The 17,289-nt window shown below is 38.1% G+C and overlaps 1 protein-coding gene across 8 annotated transcripts in view; it reads left to right on the top strand.

Moving 5' to 3' along the window:
- DGKI (diacylglycerol kinase iota) overlaps window positions 1-16,627 on the top strand; it is a 465,938-nt gene extending 449,311 nt beyond the window's left edge. For 7 of the 8 annotated variants that reach the window (XM_047421022.1, NM_001321708.2, XM_047421021.1 and 4 more), the window contains 3 exons: window positions 251-287; window positions 1,967-2,066; window positions 6,328-16,627. In XM_047421022.1, the coding sequence (XP_047276978.1) occupies window positions 251-287; window positions 1,967-2,066; window positions 6,328-6,444 (254 nt within the window). In that variant the 3' untranslated portion in view covers window positions 6,445-16,627. The remainder of the gene's footprint in view (window positions 1-250; window positions 288-1,966; window positions 2,067-6,327) is intronic. The other variant, NM_004717.3, reaches the window with a different exon arrangement.
- The last annotated feature ends 662 nt before the right edge of the window (window positions 16,628-17,289 follow it).

Raw genomic sequence — 17,289 nt, 5'->3', positions numbered from 1 at the left:
ATCGAAAGCTGCTTGACAGCAGAGACCATACCATTCTTTTTTATCTACCATTCTGTACATATTGGTTCATGGAGATTGGGAGTTTGGTGATGAGGAGGTAGAGGAATCCTTTTATTTTTCTTTCTGTCTTATTATTCCTATCCCCAAATTTAGCTTTCCAAGGCATTTTAATTCTGTGACTATAGATTTTCTGTTAATGTTTAGTTTTTGAGCTTATTTTTGACGGTCATCTTGCTTTCTTCTTATTTAGGACCTTCCGAGTTATTGGATATGGCAGACAGTGAAACGTGAGTGTTGCCTTTTATTACATAGTCTAGGTTATTTTCTTCAGAACATATCTGGGAGAAGAATGTAATCTATAGAGCATATCATAGGTAATTTTAACTTAATTAATTCAAAGTCCACTTTCAACTTTGTTCATAAATGTGCAGGGCTAATAGCCTAAATAAAAAATTACGGAATAGAAATTGATGACAATTGTCATAATGCTTGCCTCCATAGTCAGCGCTAATCATCATTTAGAGCTTGCTTCAAACAATGTACTTCTGCACTGGTGCATCTTGGAATGTTGAGAAGTCTAAATAATTACACTTACCTTTTAATATACCCATCACATTTATTCTTTCTCAACTGGAGTTTCTGAAAAAATGGGGCCCTACTGCCCTAAGGCATTATTCACATGTAGTGACATAACTTCTCTCTGTTAGTCTAGAACAGGACAAGTTATGAACCACCACTGAAGAACTGAGAACATAGTCACTCTATTTTCTGTCTTCTGTGGTTCAGAGAAGGGATCCTGATTGAAAAAGTCATCAGCTCTGGGATGGTGCCTAAACTGATGATAATGTTTGTTTTCAACCTTATTTCTAAAGTAGCGAAATAGCTACTGCTCCCCAAACAGGAACAAAGATAGGCTGTACAACTAATCCTGAAAGCCATATTTGAAAAGGTATAAAGATGAGTTGGTGTGGAGAGGAATGAGGTGGTGAGTAGCTAAGCATGTGGGAAGGAGGAGAAGTAGAAATGAATAGAATGGAGGACGAAGAGAAGCAGTAGAGCTGTGGAAGAAGCTGTCTATCACTCCATAGAGCTGGTCCACATGCCAGCACATCCTATTGGCAAGATTATAAGTGGTGCCATCACTTACCCCATTTTGCCTTCTCTAAAGGCTGCTATTGATTTTTCCTGAAACACTTTGGCGTTAAGCATCTTGGTGCCTTTGGGCTCAGGATAGGAATACCCTCCTCCCTATAGAGCCTGTCAGTGATGGGGAAATGGCCAGTTTCCCTTGCTCCTTCCCACACTGAGTGGCTGGCCTCAAGCCTGCTGCCTCCTGGGGAGAGCCCTGGCTCTCAAACTCTCCCAGGGTCTCACTGTGCCTCTCAGATATCCTCTATGGCTGCCCCCTCCTTCCACCTGCCACTCACACAGAATCTAAAGTGGATAGAGCAGAGTGGGTGTTGGCCTGGTTCTTTGAACTTGGGTTCTCAGGAGATACTCCACTGCAGGCCGAGTGGCCATCAACCAAGGGCTGCGTGCTGTGCCTGAAGGGCCAGAGGCGCTCCACACTGCTCCCTGTTCTTTCACCCAGTGCCTTTCTCGCTCTGCTCAAATGTATGCACAGAGAGAATGGCTTCAGTATTCAGATACATCTAGACAATTAGTCTGTTTAATACTGCATTGACTATCACCTAAATCAAATAGTAGTAGCTTTTAAAAAAATTACTAAACTTAATCAACACTATTTGGAAAGGGGGCTAGAGTCAGATATTATGATCAGTTGATGGCTAGCTCAAGGAATTTTTAGAAATCCCCTTCCCTACCTCCCCAGAATGTACCCTACAGCCAAAGTCTCAGCAGCCTACAGGGAAGGAGGCTGAGGAGCACCCTACATCAGCTCCCCTCACCCATTCCCTGCTGCCTCCAACCCCTTTATGGGTGGTTTCCCATTTCATCTTTGATTTAGGGGTGAGACTGCACTGCACAAGGCTGCCTGCCAGCGGAACCGGGCTGTGTGCCAGCTTCTGGTGGATGCAGGAGCATCTCTGAGAAAGACGGACTCCAAGGTAACTCGATGAGTGAGTGCAAACATCCTCCCGCTGGGCGAGATCGCAGGCGCTGTTGCCTTTGCTTGTGACCATAGCACGGACATCCTTTCTGTGCTTATGGAAGTGCCTGGGGCTTTGGAAAAAGGAGGAAAAAATAGAGTGCTTCATTTAGAGAAACTGTGATTTAAATGTATAAGCACAAAGGGAGGGCGTGTGCTTGCCTATGGGGCTTTATAAACCTCTGAACACGTTGACCTTGGGACTTTGGGGTTGTCCTGCTGAGCGCTAGCAGCCAAGTCATGGGAGTTGAGGTCCGAAGCCCAAGGAGAGGGGTCAGGACCATTTTCAAAGACTTTGGCCTGACTACTGAGAAGCCCCTTTGGGGTTTTCCTTCAGTACTTACTCCAACGTGTTTTAAATTCTATGATTTATATGGCCCCTTATATGGGTGCCAAAGGGATTCTTTCCCAGCTCCCAGGATGGTAGGATCTGGCTTTGAGATGGTCATAGTCTTAAATCTGGTGTGTTTATGTAGTTCTTCATTTTTAAAAAATTCTTTCCATTTGTTTTCTAATATTATTCTCTAAAAGTTAACCTCAGGTACTAGATAGCATGGGAATTACTGTCATTTATAGGTATAGGAGCTAAAAGCCTAGAGAAAGTTACACATACCCTTGGACCAGTAGCTGAGGCTTAAATTAAATTGAGCTCTTTTGACGTCCAGCCCAGTGTTGTATCAGCAGGTTGGTGGTTCTCATTTGGTGCCAGAACACCCCAGCCACATAACAAAATCGGTTTGTTTATGGAGTCTGTTTTGTTGAGGTACAGTGATACCTGTGGCACTTGGCTTGAAATGTGGTTGGTTTCTCCACAGCAAAAGTTATGTAAATCTGAACTTAAAGTGTCCACTTTCTTAGGACTATCTTAATAAGAGGGCAGTGAGGCCAGATATTGTACTGTGACATGTATGCCAACCTTGATAGCATCAGCTGGCGGAGGTGAGGCCTTAGGGGAAACTCTGTTTAGGAGAACTGAGAACAAGCTGCACCACGAGTTGTTTAAGTTTATAGAGAGCACCCAAGAGAAAGGGTTGAAAGATAGAGGGAAGGAGGAGTTGTAGCTTAGTAGAGTTGAACCAGGGCTCAGCCTATAAGAAAGAAGAGAGAGAAAGAGGAGTTAGTTTACATAGAAGATCAACACCATAGAGCAGGGGTGTCCAATCTTTTGGCTTCCCTGGGCCACATTGGACAAAGAAGAATTGTCTTGGGCCACACATGAAATACACTAACACTAACAATAGCTGATGAACTGAAAAAATAAAAATCACACACACACACAAATCTTACGATGTTTTAAGAAAGTTTACGAATTTCCATTGAGCCTCATTCGCATCCATCCTGGGTCGCATATGGCTTGCGGGCTGTGGGTTGGACAAGCTTGCCATAGAGGATTCTGATAAGCTCTGAGAGTTTTAGAACACTCTCGGTAGACTCCAGGAAAGAATGAACCACTTACCTATAGACACTTACAGAGAAGAATCTTGATATATAGTTGAGGCCTTCATTAAGCAGGTACCGAGTAGCTCAGGTTTGGGGCCAATGGTTGTAACCATGACACATACATAGATTACTTAGAAGCCTAATTAATGGCTTAAGCTCCATTAGATTTATTTAAGTGATAAGAATCTGCCTATGTGCAATTTTTTTCCCTGGGGCCTCCTCAAACTGCAGTCCACTTTATGAAATAACTTTGCCTTCCTAGTGGACTTTCTTTCCTTTCTGAGCCAGTTGTATTACATAGAACTCTCCACTTTCCTGGCAACCCATGAGCACCCTTGCTCTCTGAAGTCCCTGGCTGCCTAGGTATATCAAACACACTTGAGCTGTGTCCTGGTTTCTAGTGGTCTGTTACCTGTCTGGCTAGCTAATTGGGTACACTATTTCAAATGGCAGATAATTAGGTTGGTGTAAAAGTAATTGTGGTTTTTGCCATTAAAAGTAATAATTTCTCAATGTGATGTTCTTCCCAGATGTTATTTGCACTCAGATGTTTTGATGTTTAGCCTGATTGAGAAACACACAACTTATATTCAGGATTAATGGAGCCAGGTTATGGGGTAGGGTTGGTCTTGCCAGGGCCACTCAGACCACAGCAGCACAACTGCCTCTTTACCACACAAAGGCTGGTCCTACACTCAACTCAGATCATTTTAAAAACAGAGAGAAGCCATGAAAAAGAGGGACAAACCAAACAGGAATCAGGAGACCTGGCTCTTGAGCAGGTCTGCTTTTTTATCTTTCTAAGTTTCTGAATCAGATAAAAGACTCAATGTTCATGGAAACTTCTTTCTGTTTTGTGTTGTGTATGTGTCTGCTTTTTTTAAAAAAAAATGGAAATAGCTTGTTTTTATAATTATAAACCCCTCACATAGAAAACTAGTAATGTAGGAAGATATGCTCCAAAAAGCAAAAAATTGCTGGAAACCTCACAACCTAGACCTAGATATCATTAAACTTGTAATGATCCCCCTTCACATGTAGATATGCCTGTTTTTCTCTCTTGTTGTTTTTAACTAGATGAAGTCATACATACATGATATCGTATAACTTTTCACTCAACGTTATATTCTAGAGGTCTTACCACATGAAATAATATAGCTATACTTCATTACTTTTTAAGGATTTTTAAATTTTGCCATTCTGTAACTTGATGCTAGTTTAAAGTTGAATGTGATCATTACAACTGAATCTTCTCCTGGAATTTTTTGGAGAGAAGCAGCATCCTGAGAATTTCTCCTATTAGAGTTCAGTTCCTCAGAAATCACCTCAAAGGCCCACCTCAGCAACCTCTCTGAATATTTGGAACCTGGAAATTCCAACCTCATTATTATGGAAGTAAAGACACAATTATCTACTAAGGCTGCAAACAAGTTGAATAAAAATTATTCAAGGAACTTCAAACTAGTGGTTAACGGCTAAATCCCAAGTGAATAAGTAACATTTTAGAAAGATTCTAGAGCCATTGTTACTTCCCTTTTGTCCTCTCCCCAGTAGGCTATGTAGAGCAGGTTGGATTGAGGTCGCCAGTATCTGTTGGGATAGCCGAGATGAAAGCTGAGAAGTCTCTGATAATATTTATAACACTTGTGTGCATTTGTACATGGAGCTATTTATTTGGTACAATGATCATGCCTCTACCCTTCCTTTGGAACTTAACATAACTTTTTAAATAGTTAAAACTTTATCATTCAACAAAAATTAGAAATTTTGAGCGATGCCAAGTAATATATACAGGCATTCAAAAGAATGGACACTCTTTCTCCCTTTACTGCTGACTTCTTATTCAGTGGCCTCATTTAAAAAATAGCAATATATATATACAAATATATGTGTATATGTGTGTATATAAGTGTACAAAAGGCATTATAGTAGTCTGTAAGAAATTATATGATCATTTAACATGTTGATGTAAAAAATTAATGACAAATTTATGATATATTACTAAGAAAGGTTGTAAAACAGTATGTAAATGAATTGTGGTTTTGTTTTTATAAAAATACGTATAGAGGCATATAAAAGACAAAATCTAGTTATCAATGGAAGGTTAGTAGTGGTTATCTTAGTTTGGTGGAATGATTAGGGATATTCCTTTTCTTCTTTGTGCTTTTCAAGCTTTCCAAGATTTCTTTAATCAATATCTACCACTTTTGTATTGAGAAACTAGCTTAGTTTTTAGAGAGATGAAATAGCCCAAGTCTGAAACCAATAAAGAAAACCTTTCAATTTTTTTATGACTATCCCTTCCTTTTAGTTTCTGTATGTTGATTTCCCAAGTTTAGAATAATAGAAAGAGTCCTAAACTAGAAATCTAAATGCCTGCCTCCCTATTTTTTAAATTCAGTAATTTCTACCTCCCCATCTTCCAGAAAGGCTCTGGGTTTCAAAACTCGCTTTACCCCACTGTTTCCTTCTGTATACTGTTAACCTCTGTGAACTTCTGTTTCCCTAGTATAAACCCCACCCGTCAAAAGTGATAAACTCTTTCCCTTTCATTTACCAATCGCACATGTTCAATTTAATGCTCATATAAGACAATAGATTTGAAAGTGTCTTGTAAACTCTAAAACACCAAATGTGAAAGGATCCTTACTAGCAGGTATCCTTGCGTAGTTCTGTTTCTGTGATTTTTGTTTTGTTTTGTTTTTTGTTTTTGTATTTCACGACTAGCGCTTGTGTCTATCTCTCTCTCTCTTTTTTTTTTTCTCACTATTTTCGTATAGGGTAAGACACCTCAAGAAAGAGCACAGCAGGCTGGGGACCCAGACTTGGCTGCTTACCTAGAAAGCCGTCAGAACTATAAGGTCATTGGCCATGAGGACCTGGAAACTGCTGTTTGACCCTGGTATTCGGGCAAAGAGGACATGAGCAAGCGTATCACATCTGCCCTCCCTGCAATTGGGCAGCTCCCCTGGAAGAAGCTGATGGAATTCATATATCTGTCTCTCTCCTGCAAGAATCTACCTGAGACCATGCCACTAGCTTTTAAGGGCTACCAAGATGTACAACAGAACATGATAGCCCATTGAGAAGGAGGCAGGATACCTGGAGATTTGTGGAATACAGTACGAGTTCCACAAAATTTGATCCTTATTGCTTCCAGCAAGTAGCATGAACTTCTGTGTTCACCTGTATAATTTATTTTAAAGATTCAAAGGATGTTCGTATAAATGGCACTGCTCCATCCTCCCCCTATGCATTGGTTTTTTTCCCTGTACCATACAATTCTACTGTAACTACCCATCAACTTAAAGAAAAATATTATCTCTTCTCTTTACATTCAGTCTTGGAAGACCACAAGATTGTCTGAAGGCCTTCTAAAACCTTCTGAATGTCCTGCAGAAATATAACTGTAAAACCACTTCCATTTCTAAGACTAAATATATCAAGACTATTTAGTGACTCTCTCTGCATGTCCCCCTCACCCGCCAACCCTCCGTTTCATTATATAGGAGCTGGGAAGTGCCACATGGATAATGTCAACTTGTGTGCTATATCTCTGAGGAATGGTGAGGTGGCATGGGAGATGTCTGTGCTTGGAGGTACCTCAGAGAGGTAACCCAGGGGTCAGCCCAGGCTGCTGGGCTGTAGCCAATAGCCATGCAGGACTGGTTCAGCTTGGGCTGTCTGTACAGCTCCGTACTGCCTATGTGTAGCCATCTTTGCCTTTTGCTGCAATAGAAGATGAGCAAAGGATTAAACAGAGGCCCACAGCTAGTTTGCAGAACCACTCAATTTTAAGTGCTGTTTAAATTGCAGAGCAAATAATCCTGTGTGGGAACTGTGGTTACAGGAAATGGAGCACTCTAACAATGTTTACTTCTAAACTTTGTTGAATGATAATAGAAAGCACCCTAATTGACTTGGAAAAAAAAAACAGCAAAAGCAAAAGTAGCAACATATGTCAACATATGTCACTGAAATAGGAAACAGTCATTGGAATGTTGCACAGAGGCTAATAACTATAGACTGTTGGATACAGTGGTGAGAGGAGCCCCATTTTAGGTCTTTCTTTTAGGTTTTTGGTTTTCATTACTCCAAGTAATCCTTGACCCAAGAACAAAGGCTTGTTGTATGAGTTCCACTGCCAGATTTATGGGATGCCTGGATCATTCAGAAGGATGCTTCAACTATTATTTGTCAGGTCCAAAGGTCGTACTTAATAACCCCATTTTCTATGTATGGGGTAGTCTAATATATTATTTTATCTACTTTATTTTTCCCTTTTCAGAAAGTCCTTAGTGCAAACCACCATTGGAATCTAGCCAGAAATGTCTGTCAGATAGTTAGAATTGTAACATCTAAACCTGCCACGGATCGAATGGTACTTACAGGTACCTCTCTTAGGGACTCTGTGATCCCTAAAATATCAGAAGAAAATGTCTGTCTTTCTGTCCAAATATCTACTTGACTTGGGGGTAAGTCAAAAATAAAAGTAGGTGTCCAAGGATTTTACTTTTGGCGAAATCTGACGTCTCCTGAGCTTATTTTCATTTTGTCCTTGGACATAGCATAGTGCTTCCCTAATGTTTCTACATATGACCATGAATGATAGTGTCTCTACATTTAATTTAAAAGTCTAATGGTGACATTTTGCTTATCTGAGTCACATTTCGGTAACATATCATCATTTTGAAAGTGCGGCTATGACGTGCTATATTAAACAGGAACAGCCTTTCAGTGGATGGGGATTTTATTACCACAGTCTTTCCATAGTCATTTCAAAATCAAATTGTTGGTGGGAGGATGGATTGGGTTGTGAGTAATCTACTTCCATATATCAGCCTCAGAAATGGAACTATCCTTTGGATATTACAGGAGACACTGCAGCAGATTGTTTCCAGAAGCTGGAAAAATATGCTCCAGGAGAATTTAATCACTGGGCTTTTGCTGGGGGATTTTTAGTTGGCGGGACTGTCAAGGAAATGTGATGACAGAAATATAATCCTTAACACAAACTGGAATCTGGCTTTGAATGGCATCTTCCATTCCCTGGATTGAGTCAAATGTTTGGCCAAGCAGTCAGTTATCTAGCTGTTACTGTTGGGATGAAGAACTCTGTTTTCATCAACTACCATCTCACATTTCTCTAAATACTTCCAAGTAGCCCAGAGAAAATTTAGGGTACAGGTGGCTATGGGCCAATTTCTAAATAGCTCCAATTGAAGACATAAATCTGTGTTATGAAAAATGATGAGTTGGTACTGTAAGATTCCTGATGCATTTGGAAATTTTTTCAAACCAAAAAAAAAAAAGGCATTAGAGTCCTGTGTTATTCATGGAGACCAATATTTGATATATCGCTTTGAAAAAAGCAAGTACCACTAGGACTTGGGATTTCCAAAATAAAGTGAGCAGAATAACCACATGTTTAATGGCTTCAACATTAAACCACCTCCTGTAGCATGTTTTAAAAATTGGTCCTGGGCTTTGGAAAGAGCTAAGGCCTTATGGTCTAGGAGTTTCCATCTCAGCTTAAGTATATTGTATCCCTACTATTAGGACATCAGGAAAGCAAGTGATCTAGTCCTGGTCTGAAGTGCCATGTAACTTTAACAGACATAAAAATATGTACCTATAGAAATATCATTTCTACAAAGCCTACTGAGACAGCACTGAAGAGGCAGCTAGCTTGGCTGACTCCTCTGTGTTTGTTTCTTTGTGTCATGGCACTGACTGCTTTGAGATTCCATTTTTAGATGTGGTTGATAGAGGAATGGAAAATGAAGAGTTATTAAAAGACAACATTCTGTAACCTGAAAGGTAGTCATTTTTGCAAGCTTATATTTTAATATTGTGCATTTAACAAAATAGAACACAGTTAAACTGTGCTTTATCGTATTCAAGGACTTCATAAAGAATAAGAGAGAAGATTAGTAAGCCAAGAATGGAATAAATACCATGACTAGGAATTTTGCTTTCAGAGCTTATGTTTCCTCTGTAGATGTGATAACCAAAAACCAGTGCAAGTTTTGAAACATAATTTAGCTGGCAAATGCACAGTGATGGAAATTAGTAATGACTGATGGAGAGCCGTACATACCTGTTGCTCCTTATCCTTTCAGAATGGCTGCTTTGGCAGATCTGCCTGTGCTGGGAGCTACTCAACATCACTTCATTTTCATCTGGACCTAGTGAGAGTCCCTTTGCCTAACGAATTTCTGAAATTTATTTATTTACTAGACCCCTTATAATATTCATGGCTTTAAAAAATGACACAGCATCTTTATTTTATTACATGTCAATTTTATTAATAATATTTAGGGGTTTTTTTAAATTATAAAAATGGCACATGCTTTTTATAAAATGTTTTAATACCACAGATGAGTATCACATCCACAGTCAAGGCATCCCTTTGTTCTGGTGTTGTGTCCCACTTCCCAAAAATAAATACGGTTAACACTGATGAACACTGTTGCTTGTATGTGATGTCAGAAATACCCCATCCGTTCATGCACAAGTATGTATGTATATACGCATATACATTTACACACATATATAGACATTTATTTATATACACATGCAAGTATGTATACTATATTCATGTATATTGCATAGGTTTAGAAAAGAGCAAACATTTTAAAAGCATGCTGATCATTTGTATATGTCTAGTGAACACCAGTAGGCAAAGACAGGTTAAACAGAGAAGTTCCATTTATTTTTTTGTTTCCACCATTGCTAGGCTTAGATCTGTTATGGCATTACTACAATTGCACTTAGCATTTTCTATTACCTGTGTCATAAAATTCATGACCAAGAGTTCCTGTAATTGTTTATGTTGCCTTCCATGAAGCATGAAACCTACCATAGCCCCAAGACTTATCTATGCTATGTTTGTATTTCAAGTAAAGGAGAGTTCTTTCCTCTGTGATGCTTACACCACTTTACAAGGCTGTTTGTAACACTAACACTCAGTAGGTTGCCTAGTGATATTTAATTAGGGCAGGCTACTTCCGGGAAGGTGTAACTTCAGTGTAGTATGGGGGTCTGAGCAGCTTGTCTTCCTTCCAGAAGGAGTAGCTAATGAAATCACTGAGAACAGCATATTTTATTCAATTATGCTATTTAAAAATGGGACTTTGTTAAAATGGCTCATCATAACCATCAAATAAAACTACTAATTGTTCTATTTAAATGAATTATATTCATTTTAGGAAAAGAAGTAGAAAAACATCTAATAAATTAGCTTTCTGATTAATCTTTAACACTTATTTAATATAAAATGGCTTCTGCCTGCATCTTAATTGAACCACCTTTGAATCTCTCAACTCCTTTCACTCTGAATCTCATACTCAGCTGATTAGAAGTCCTACAGGTCCTTCTCTGCCAGGTCTGTCAGATCGACTTGGACCCTACCCTTTTCTGTGTCCCCAGTCATCCATTATCTCTTGTCTCTCTAAGTTTTGGGCCATAGCGGCAGTCCTGTCCCTGAACTTTCTGCCTACTACTGTCAATAATTTTGTCACGCAGTTGCAAAAATCTTCCCCAGATATTATGCTCAAAATACATCAAAATGAAATTACCCTCTGGGACAAGTATACCTTTTACTCAAAGGACACATGGATGTCCACTGACCTTGATCATCTTATAGAATTATGGCAAGCATGATTCTGAAAATCTATCAGGTTTAGCAAATATCTGTCTTAGTCCCATGAGGGTACACAATCACGGCTGCTGCTTCCTCATTCAACAATGTAAGCCACATGCCTCTTTGACGGCACCTGGAGGACTAGGTTATAGATTTTACACTGCTGAGGGCCATCTTTGGTTTTACACTGTCTCCTCACAGCTTAATGAGAAACCTGAAAATAAGAACCAAGAAAAGAGTCATGCCCTTGGACAACCTCCTCTCCCAGGACACTGAGATTTACTGACCAGGTCCCAGAAAGAAAGCAGAAAAATAATTCTTAGGCTCTTGTAGCATGGATTTTAAAATAGAAACGTGAAAATTGAATGGTATCTTCATAATGCATAGACTCCAGAGTCTATTTACATATGTATTCAGTTATGCATGTAATCATATGTCCATGAATCAATCATAAGTGCATGTATTTAATCATTATTTGAAAAATATTTGTCACTCTGAGGCAGGCATCATACTAAGGATATAACAATGAATGTAATAGACAAAACTCTTGATTTCATGAAGCTGGCATCTAGAAGAAAAGACAAATTCCAATGTGATAAGTGCAGTGCAGGAGAACCCCAGGGTGTCCAGCATGGGCTGGAAATTCAACCAAGGCTTTATTGTACCAGCCACTCATTAGCCAGCAATGTTTTGGTTCAATGAAAACATAAGTAGGAAGAGAATAATATTTTGCATTTCCATTTTACTGGAGTCATAGTAGATTTCTAAAAATGTATCTGAAACTAAGATTTTAAAACAAGACTTAGAAACACTATTAAAATGAAAGCTAAGACTGATTTATTCTAGCTCTCAGGATAGAACTAGGAAAAATAAGCAGAGTTTTCAGTGGGTTTTGACTAAATATAAAGAAGATGAAGTACAAATAATATGTAATAGTGGAGTGGATATCACAGTTATAAACTTTCAGCCTCTGTTAGCATTTAAACAGAGGATACCTGACCACTCTGAGGGGTGTTGTGATTAGGAATATGTGATTTGAGGGGGCTAAAATTAGATGCTGTGATTTTTCAAAAGATATTTTTTAATGGCTTTGTTGAATGGCAGGATTTTATTTTAAAAACTCATGAAAATCTTGATTTTTGATTTGTTAAACTTTGCTTTATAACTGAGAATTTTAAAAATATCTAGGGGAATGGCCGTTAGTTATCATTTAAAAAATTTTAAACTAAGCATGAATTTAAGAGCTAGTCAAAAGAAAACATACTAAAAGGTGTAATTTAATTAAAAATACTTCTGGAAGCTTATAAATTTTGATCAGTATTCTTAGTCATTGTCAAGTAAAATTCTATTAGAAATCTGTCTTACTGTCCATCCAATATAAAAAAGTGCTGTGGTTTGATATTCTAAGAGTTAAGTGTAATCTAGTATAACCACAGAAGAAAATTCTGCCTGTAAGGTATTTGGGAGCCAAGTAAATGTACATGAAAGGCAATCATGGAAAACTCTTTGGCTTCTGCCACCAGCGTGGCAACCACAAGGGAGGTCCTACCCATGGAAATAAGAAAATAGTGATCCAAGTTTTCACCCAACTTTTGAAATTTCAATATTTTGAGCCAAATGCCTTCTGAAATGGGAGGCTTTGATAGTGGGAAATACTGAAATTATCTTTTCCCTCAGACCTTTAGTGAAACACACATATAGTTTTCACTCTATGACAGTATAAACAACTCAAATCTATACTGTTTGTTAAGAACAGTTTCAAGAATTAAAAAGTGCTTTAGCGTTATGATGTATTGACATGTTTGAGCTTCAGTTGGGGTTCAAAACAACCCCAACGAGGTGAATAATGCATATAATACATTTTAGATGAATGCACTGAATCTCAGAGCAGTGAATTCAGCCTGTGCAGATTCATATAGCAAATGATAGTGCTGCAGCCAGAACTGGGTCTTTAGAAATTACATATTAACATGTTTTCTAAGTAAGTCATTTTCCATCATTGCCTTCAAGGATGTTTTATATCAATTGTTCAGATTTCCATAATATAGAAGTTGCCTCCATGAAAAAAAAATGTTTACCTAAGTTTCCACGGAAAGAATGAGTTAGAAATAAGGGAGAATGTGAAATCAAAAAGTCAGAGTTTTTGCTGTCGGAGAGAGGCTTGTCAGCTTGTACATAGTTCAAGCAAAGAAAAGTCTAATGTTTGCATACCAGGGTGGATTTCAAGAGAAGAAATTAACAGTGAGCGTTAATGGCTTCTTTAACTTATTTGTGATTCTCAGCATTTAAAAAATGTTAGTCCTATTTTTCTTCCTTTGAAGTCACTATTAGGATGATATAATTTCTGAATGCTGCAACAAAAAATGTTAAAAATGGCCCTGACATCCAAGACTCTATTGCTCTAAGTTTATGGGTGGGTATGCAAGCTAAGTGTTATGATAATACATAGTCATATACATAGAGGTTTAATACACCTATGGGAAATTCCGGCATATTTGAAGTAGAGAAAAACAAACAGGCTTGAAATGTCCTTCAGTTCAGAATCTCATACTTTACAAGGGACATTTATGGGCAGATTGGTGAATATGTAGAAGGAGGATGTTTGATCTGGAAAGAAGACAAAATTGGATTAGGAATAAGAATATGTAGAGGAGTTAGGTTAAGTAGGACTGTTAGTTTCAAATTCTGCAGGGAAGATGATTTGTAGAATAAAATAAGGAAAGAAAAGAGCAGTAACACATGAAAAGGAGTTAGCTTTATTACTTATAAGGATTTATTTTTCCTAAACATTGCATCCAGAAAAACAGTTTGGGCTTTCTGAAAAACAGTGAAGTTGTTATCACTGTTTCTTCTAGTAGTTAAGTGAAGATTGAACAACTAACTCAGAGATCAAAGGCATATCTTTAATTGTGAGAGATCTTGGACTAGAAAAACTCTGTGAGATTTTCTTGGTTTAAATGTCTATAATTTTAGACTGGAACAGAACTCAATTTGAGCCTATTTTTTTCCCCCAGGTTCCTGCCAACTAGATAGCAATGAAGGCATTTTTTAAAAAAGCTTCCATCATTGCAAATATATCCCAAATCACTTAGCAGCGGGGATTTCATGACCCTAAAAAGTTGCCTTGCTTACACAAACACACCTATGCTTTAGTAGAAACATATCTTTTTTAGGAGATTTGGGAATTGGCTAGCATTTTTGCCAATTGTTAGCCAATTTAGGAGATTTGGAAATTGGCTAGCAATTTTGCCAATTGTTAGCCAATTCCCAAATCTCCTAAAAAAGATATGTTTCTACTAAAGCAAAAAGGTCACAGATTCAGGAGTCAAAGTGAAAACAAAGGATTTAGTGTTCTTTCCCCTACTTACTACCCATTTGTTGTTTGGGATGTAGAGTCAGGACTGGAGAAGAGGGTGGGAAATTCTATATCCTCTGCCAATACAGAGGCATGGAGGCACTTTCTATAACTTTGTGTCATGAAACAAGACTTAACCCCATATCAGTAGACTAATGTTTCTGTCATATTTCTGTCTAGGTGGATTACAGTTTTAATTGCCCATCATCCCTTAATTCTGTAATACAGCTTGAGTTCCTAGATTTCAGGTTGACTGGGTGAGGGAGGAAGTCACTTGAGGTAATTTTAAGAAATGAATCCATATCCAGAGTCTTGCAGAAAAGACCTGCTTCTACTCCACCTTCTTTCTTGTTCTACTTCTTGCCTCTGGTTTGGGGGCATAAAAGAGGGGCAGAGTTGTGAGGAAAGGAAAAAAGATTCTCAAAAGTAGTACAATAAGAAGACCCTAGTAGTAACACAAATTCTCATGGTAATCTCAAACAACTGATAGTGTTAGCAGATATTGAAAATCAAACTCAGGAAACATACAGAAAGATTAAATTTGTTCAAAGTGGCTTCAAGGGGTATTAGTTGTGAAAATTTCAGTTTATGCAGCATAGAAGAATTAGATTGTGTGTGGAACTTGGGGGAAGTAGGGTCAGCTAATAGAAGAACTTTTTAATGGAGCTTTCCAAAGGACGAGGTGGTTTTTGGAAGGAGTTTGTCCAACCTCTTATAATACATTATGCCTGTCCACAAACTTGTTCTGGTCCCTGATAAAGTTTGAAAAAAATAAGGAATATTTAGGGTTTTTTCCCACAAATCTCAATATATTCACTTAAAAATTCAGAGACTGTGACCTTGTTATTTTGGGTTTAAATATACATTTTCCTCTTAAAAATGATAGATATATGTTTACAAATTGTCTTTACTCTTCACTTATAAAACACACACATACAGATAGGATAGTCCTGTCAGTTTACCCTATTTTTTGTTTCAAATTTATAGGTAATTTCAAATTTATAGGTGTTGGTGAGATTTATCACTTTTAAGATACCATCTAGCCTTGATATTTGTTGTACCTTCTATATGCAACCAAATGGCTCCTGATCTCCTGATCTTCTGGAGATCAAAGAATTTTTATTCGCCACTCTCCCCACCCATCATTGGTTGGATTGAGACTCTAATTACATACAAGCATAATTTCCAATGCAAGTAGAACTTTGATGCTCTCCCTGACTTACCGATTATAAGTTGGGAAAGTTTGGATTCTTGCCATCCTGGGGAAGGAGATTTAGAACTCTCATAGACAAAATATTCTAACACAACAGAATATTTTGCAAAACACATCTTTGAAAAGTCAGGGGCCAAAATAGTCTCAGCAAAGGTTAGCTTGGCTGTTTTTTAAAATTACCAATAGTTAAGTGGGCAACCATGAATCTGAATATTATACAGACCACCACTGACTGAAACTGAGGAAAACCATTCTTGTGAAAAACTAAGGAATAGAGGACAATCTCAGTTCTAAAAGAATGAATATATTTGATTTAATTTGATTTCTGAGTGGGAAAACGTTCCCAGGCATCCAGGGTACCCTTGGCTGTGGGTATTCCACTCGCAAAGGCTACATCTGTATGAAGAGTTGCAGTCACATTATAAAGGGCTTTTTCATGATTTCTGATTCTGCCCTATCACATCCCAGAGCCATGCTTTTGCAAAGCTGCCAGCTGGCAGGTGGAATCCATAAACAAGTAGCAGCTGTGGCAGTAGAAAGATTAAAGTTTTATTTCCAGGTAAAGGAGGATTCAGATAATACGAAGTGGAGGGAGGGTGGGTGGGGGGGGGGGGGTGGGATGGGAAAGGGAAGAATGAAGTTTTTTGTAACAAAGTCATAAAGTATTTTTCCCTAATTTTCTTGCATTTCCTATTTATATAAAGTATCTTGATCACTGTGTTGCACTACAGAGATTTTCAATGGAGTTAATTTGGGAGACTGAACTAATCTCTGAAAAAGAAATTGACTAGTTACAGTTACTTTTTGGACACTTTTTCTGTATTGTGAATTGTGTGGAAATGTACAGAATAAAAATGAAGAAATGTAGTTCATTTGTTTATTTTTTCTGGATCCTATAAGTAGTTGGTGTGAATGCTATTTTTAACTAAAGTTAAGTTAGACTTTCAAAATCAGGAGGTAAAGAAAGAGTTGACTATTAGAGCAGGCAGAGACTAAATGGGGTCCCTGATAAGGTAGGAATTTAAAAAAAAATTAAGACTTCTGCTTCCAAAATGGACTAACAGGCCAGATTCGCCCTCCCACCAGATTTTTTTTAAAAAAACCTAAAACATGTATATATAAAACAATGATTGTTAAGACACAGGACCTTGGCGGGGGCAAAAAAGGCAGTGATTCCTGAGAGATGGAAGCAAATGATATAAGCCCTTTAATCTCTTCATTTTATAGACTTCAGAGAGTTTCCAGATAGTGATTCAGGGAGTGCTAATTTAGGAATTCCTAAGAAGTTCCTGAGTTGAGACAGAGCTGAAAGTTTGGGAAATAGAGGCAGCTAGAGCTTACAAGAGATGAGTATCACAGAGGGGAGAACCATACAGAAAAGTAATCCCACAAATCTGCAGCTACTTCCTCTTAAGTATTCAATAAAGTACTGAGCAGTTTACGTATGTGAAGAAACTACTTGAGACTGGAGAAAGAGCCATCCAAAATGATCTAAGGGACAGTGTCCAGTGCTCACAAAGGACTGAGAA

This window comes from Homo sapiens, chromosome 7, assembly GCF_000001405.40.
Source record: "Homo sapiens chromosome 7, GRCh38.p14 Primary Assembly".
NCBI lineage: Eukaryota > Metazoa > Chordata > Mammalia > Primates > Hominidae > Homo > Homo sapiens.
The sequence above is the reverse complement of the archived record's forward strand: the minus strand, read 5'-3'. Positions and strand labels throughout refer to the sequence as shown.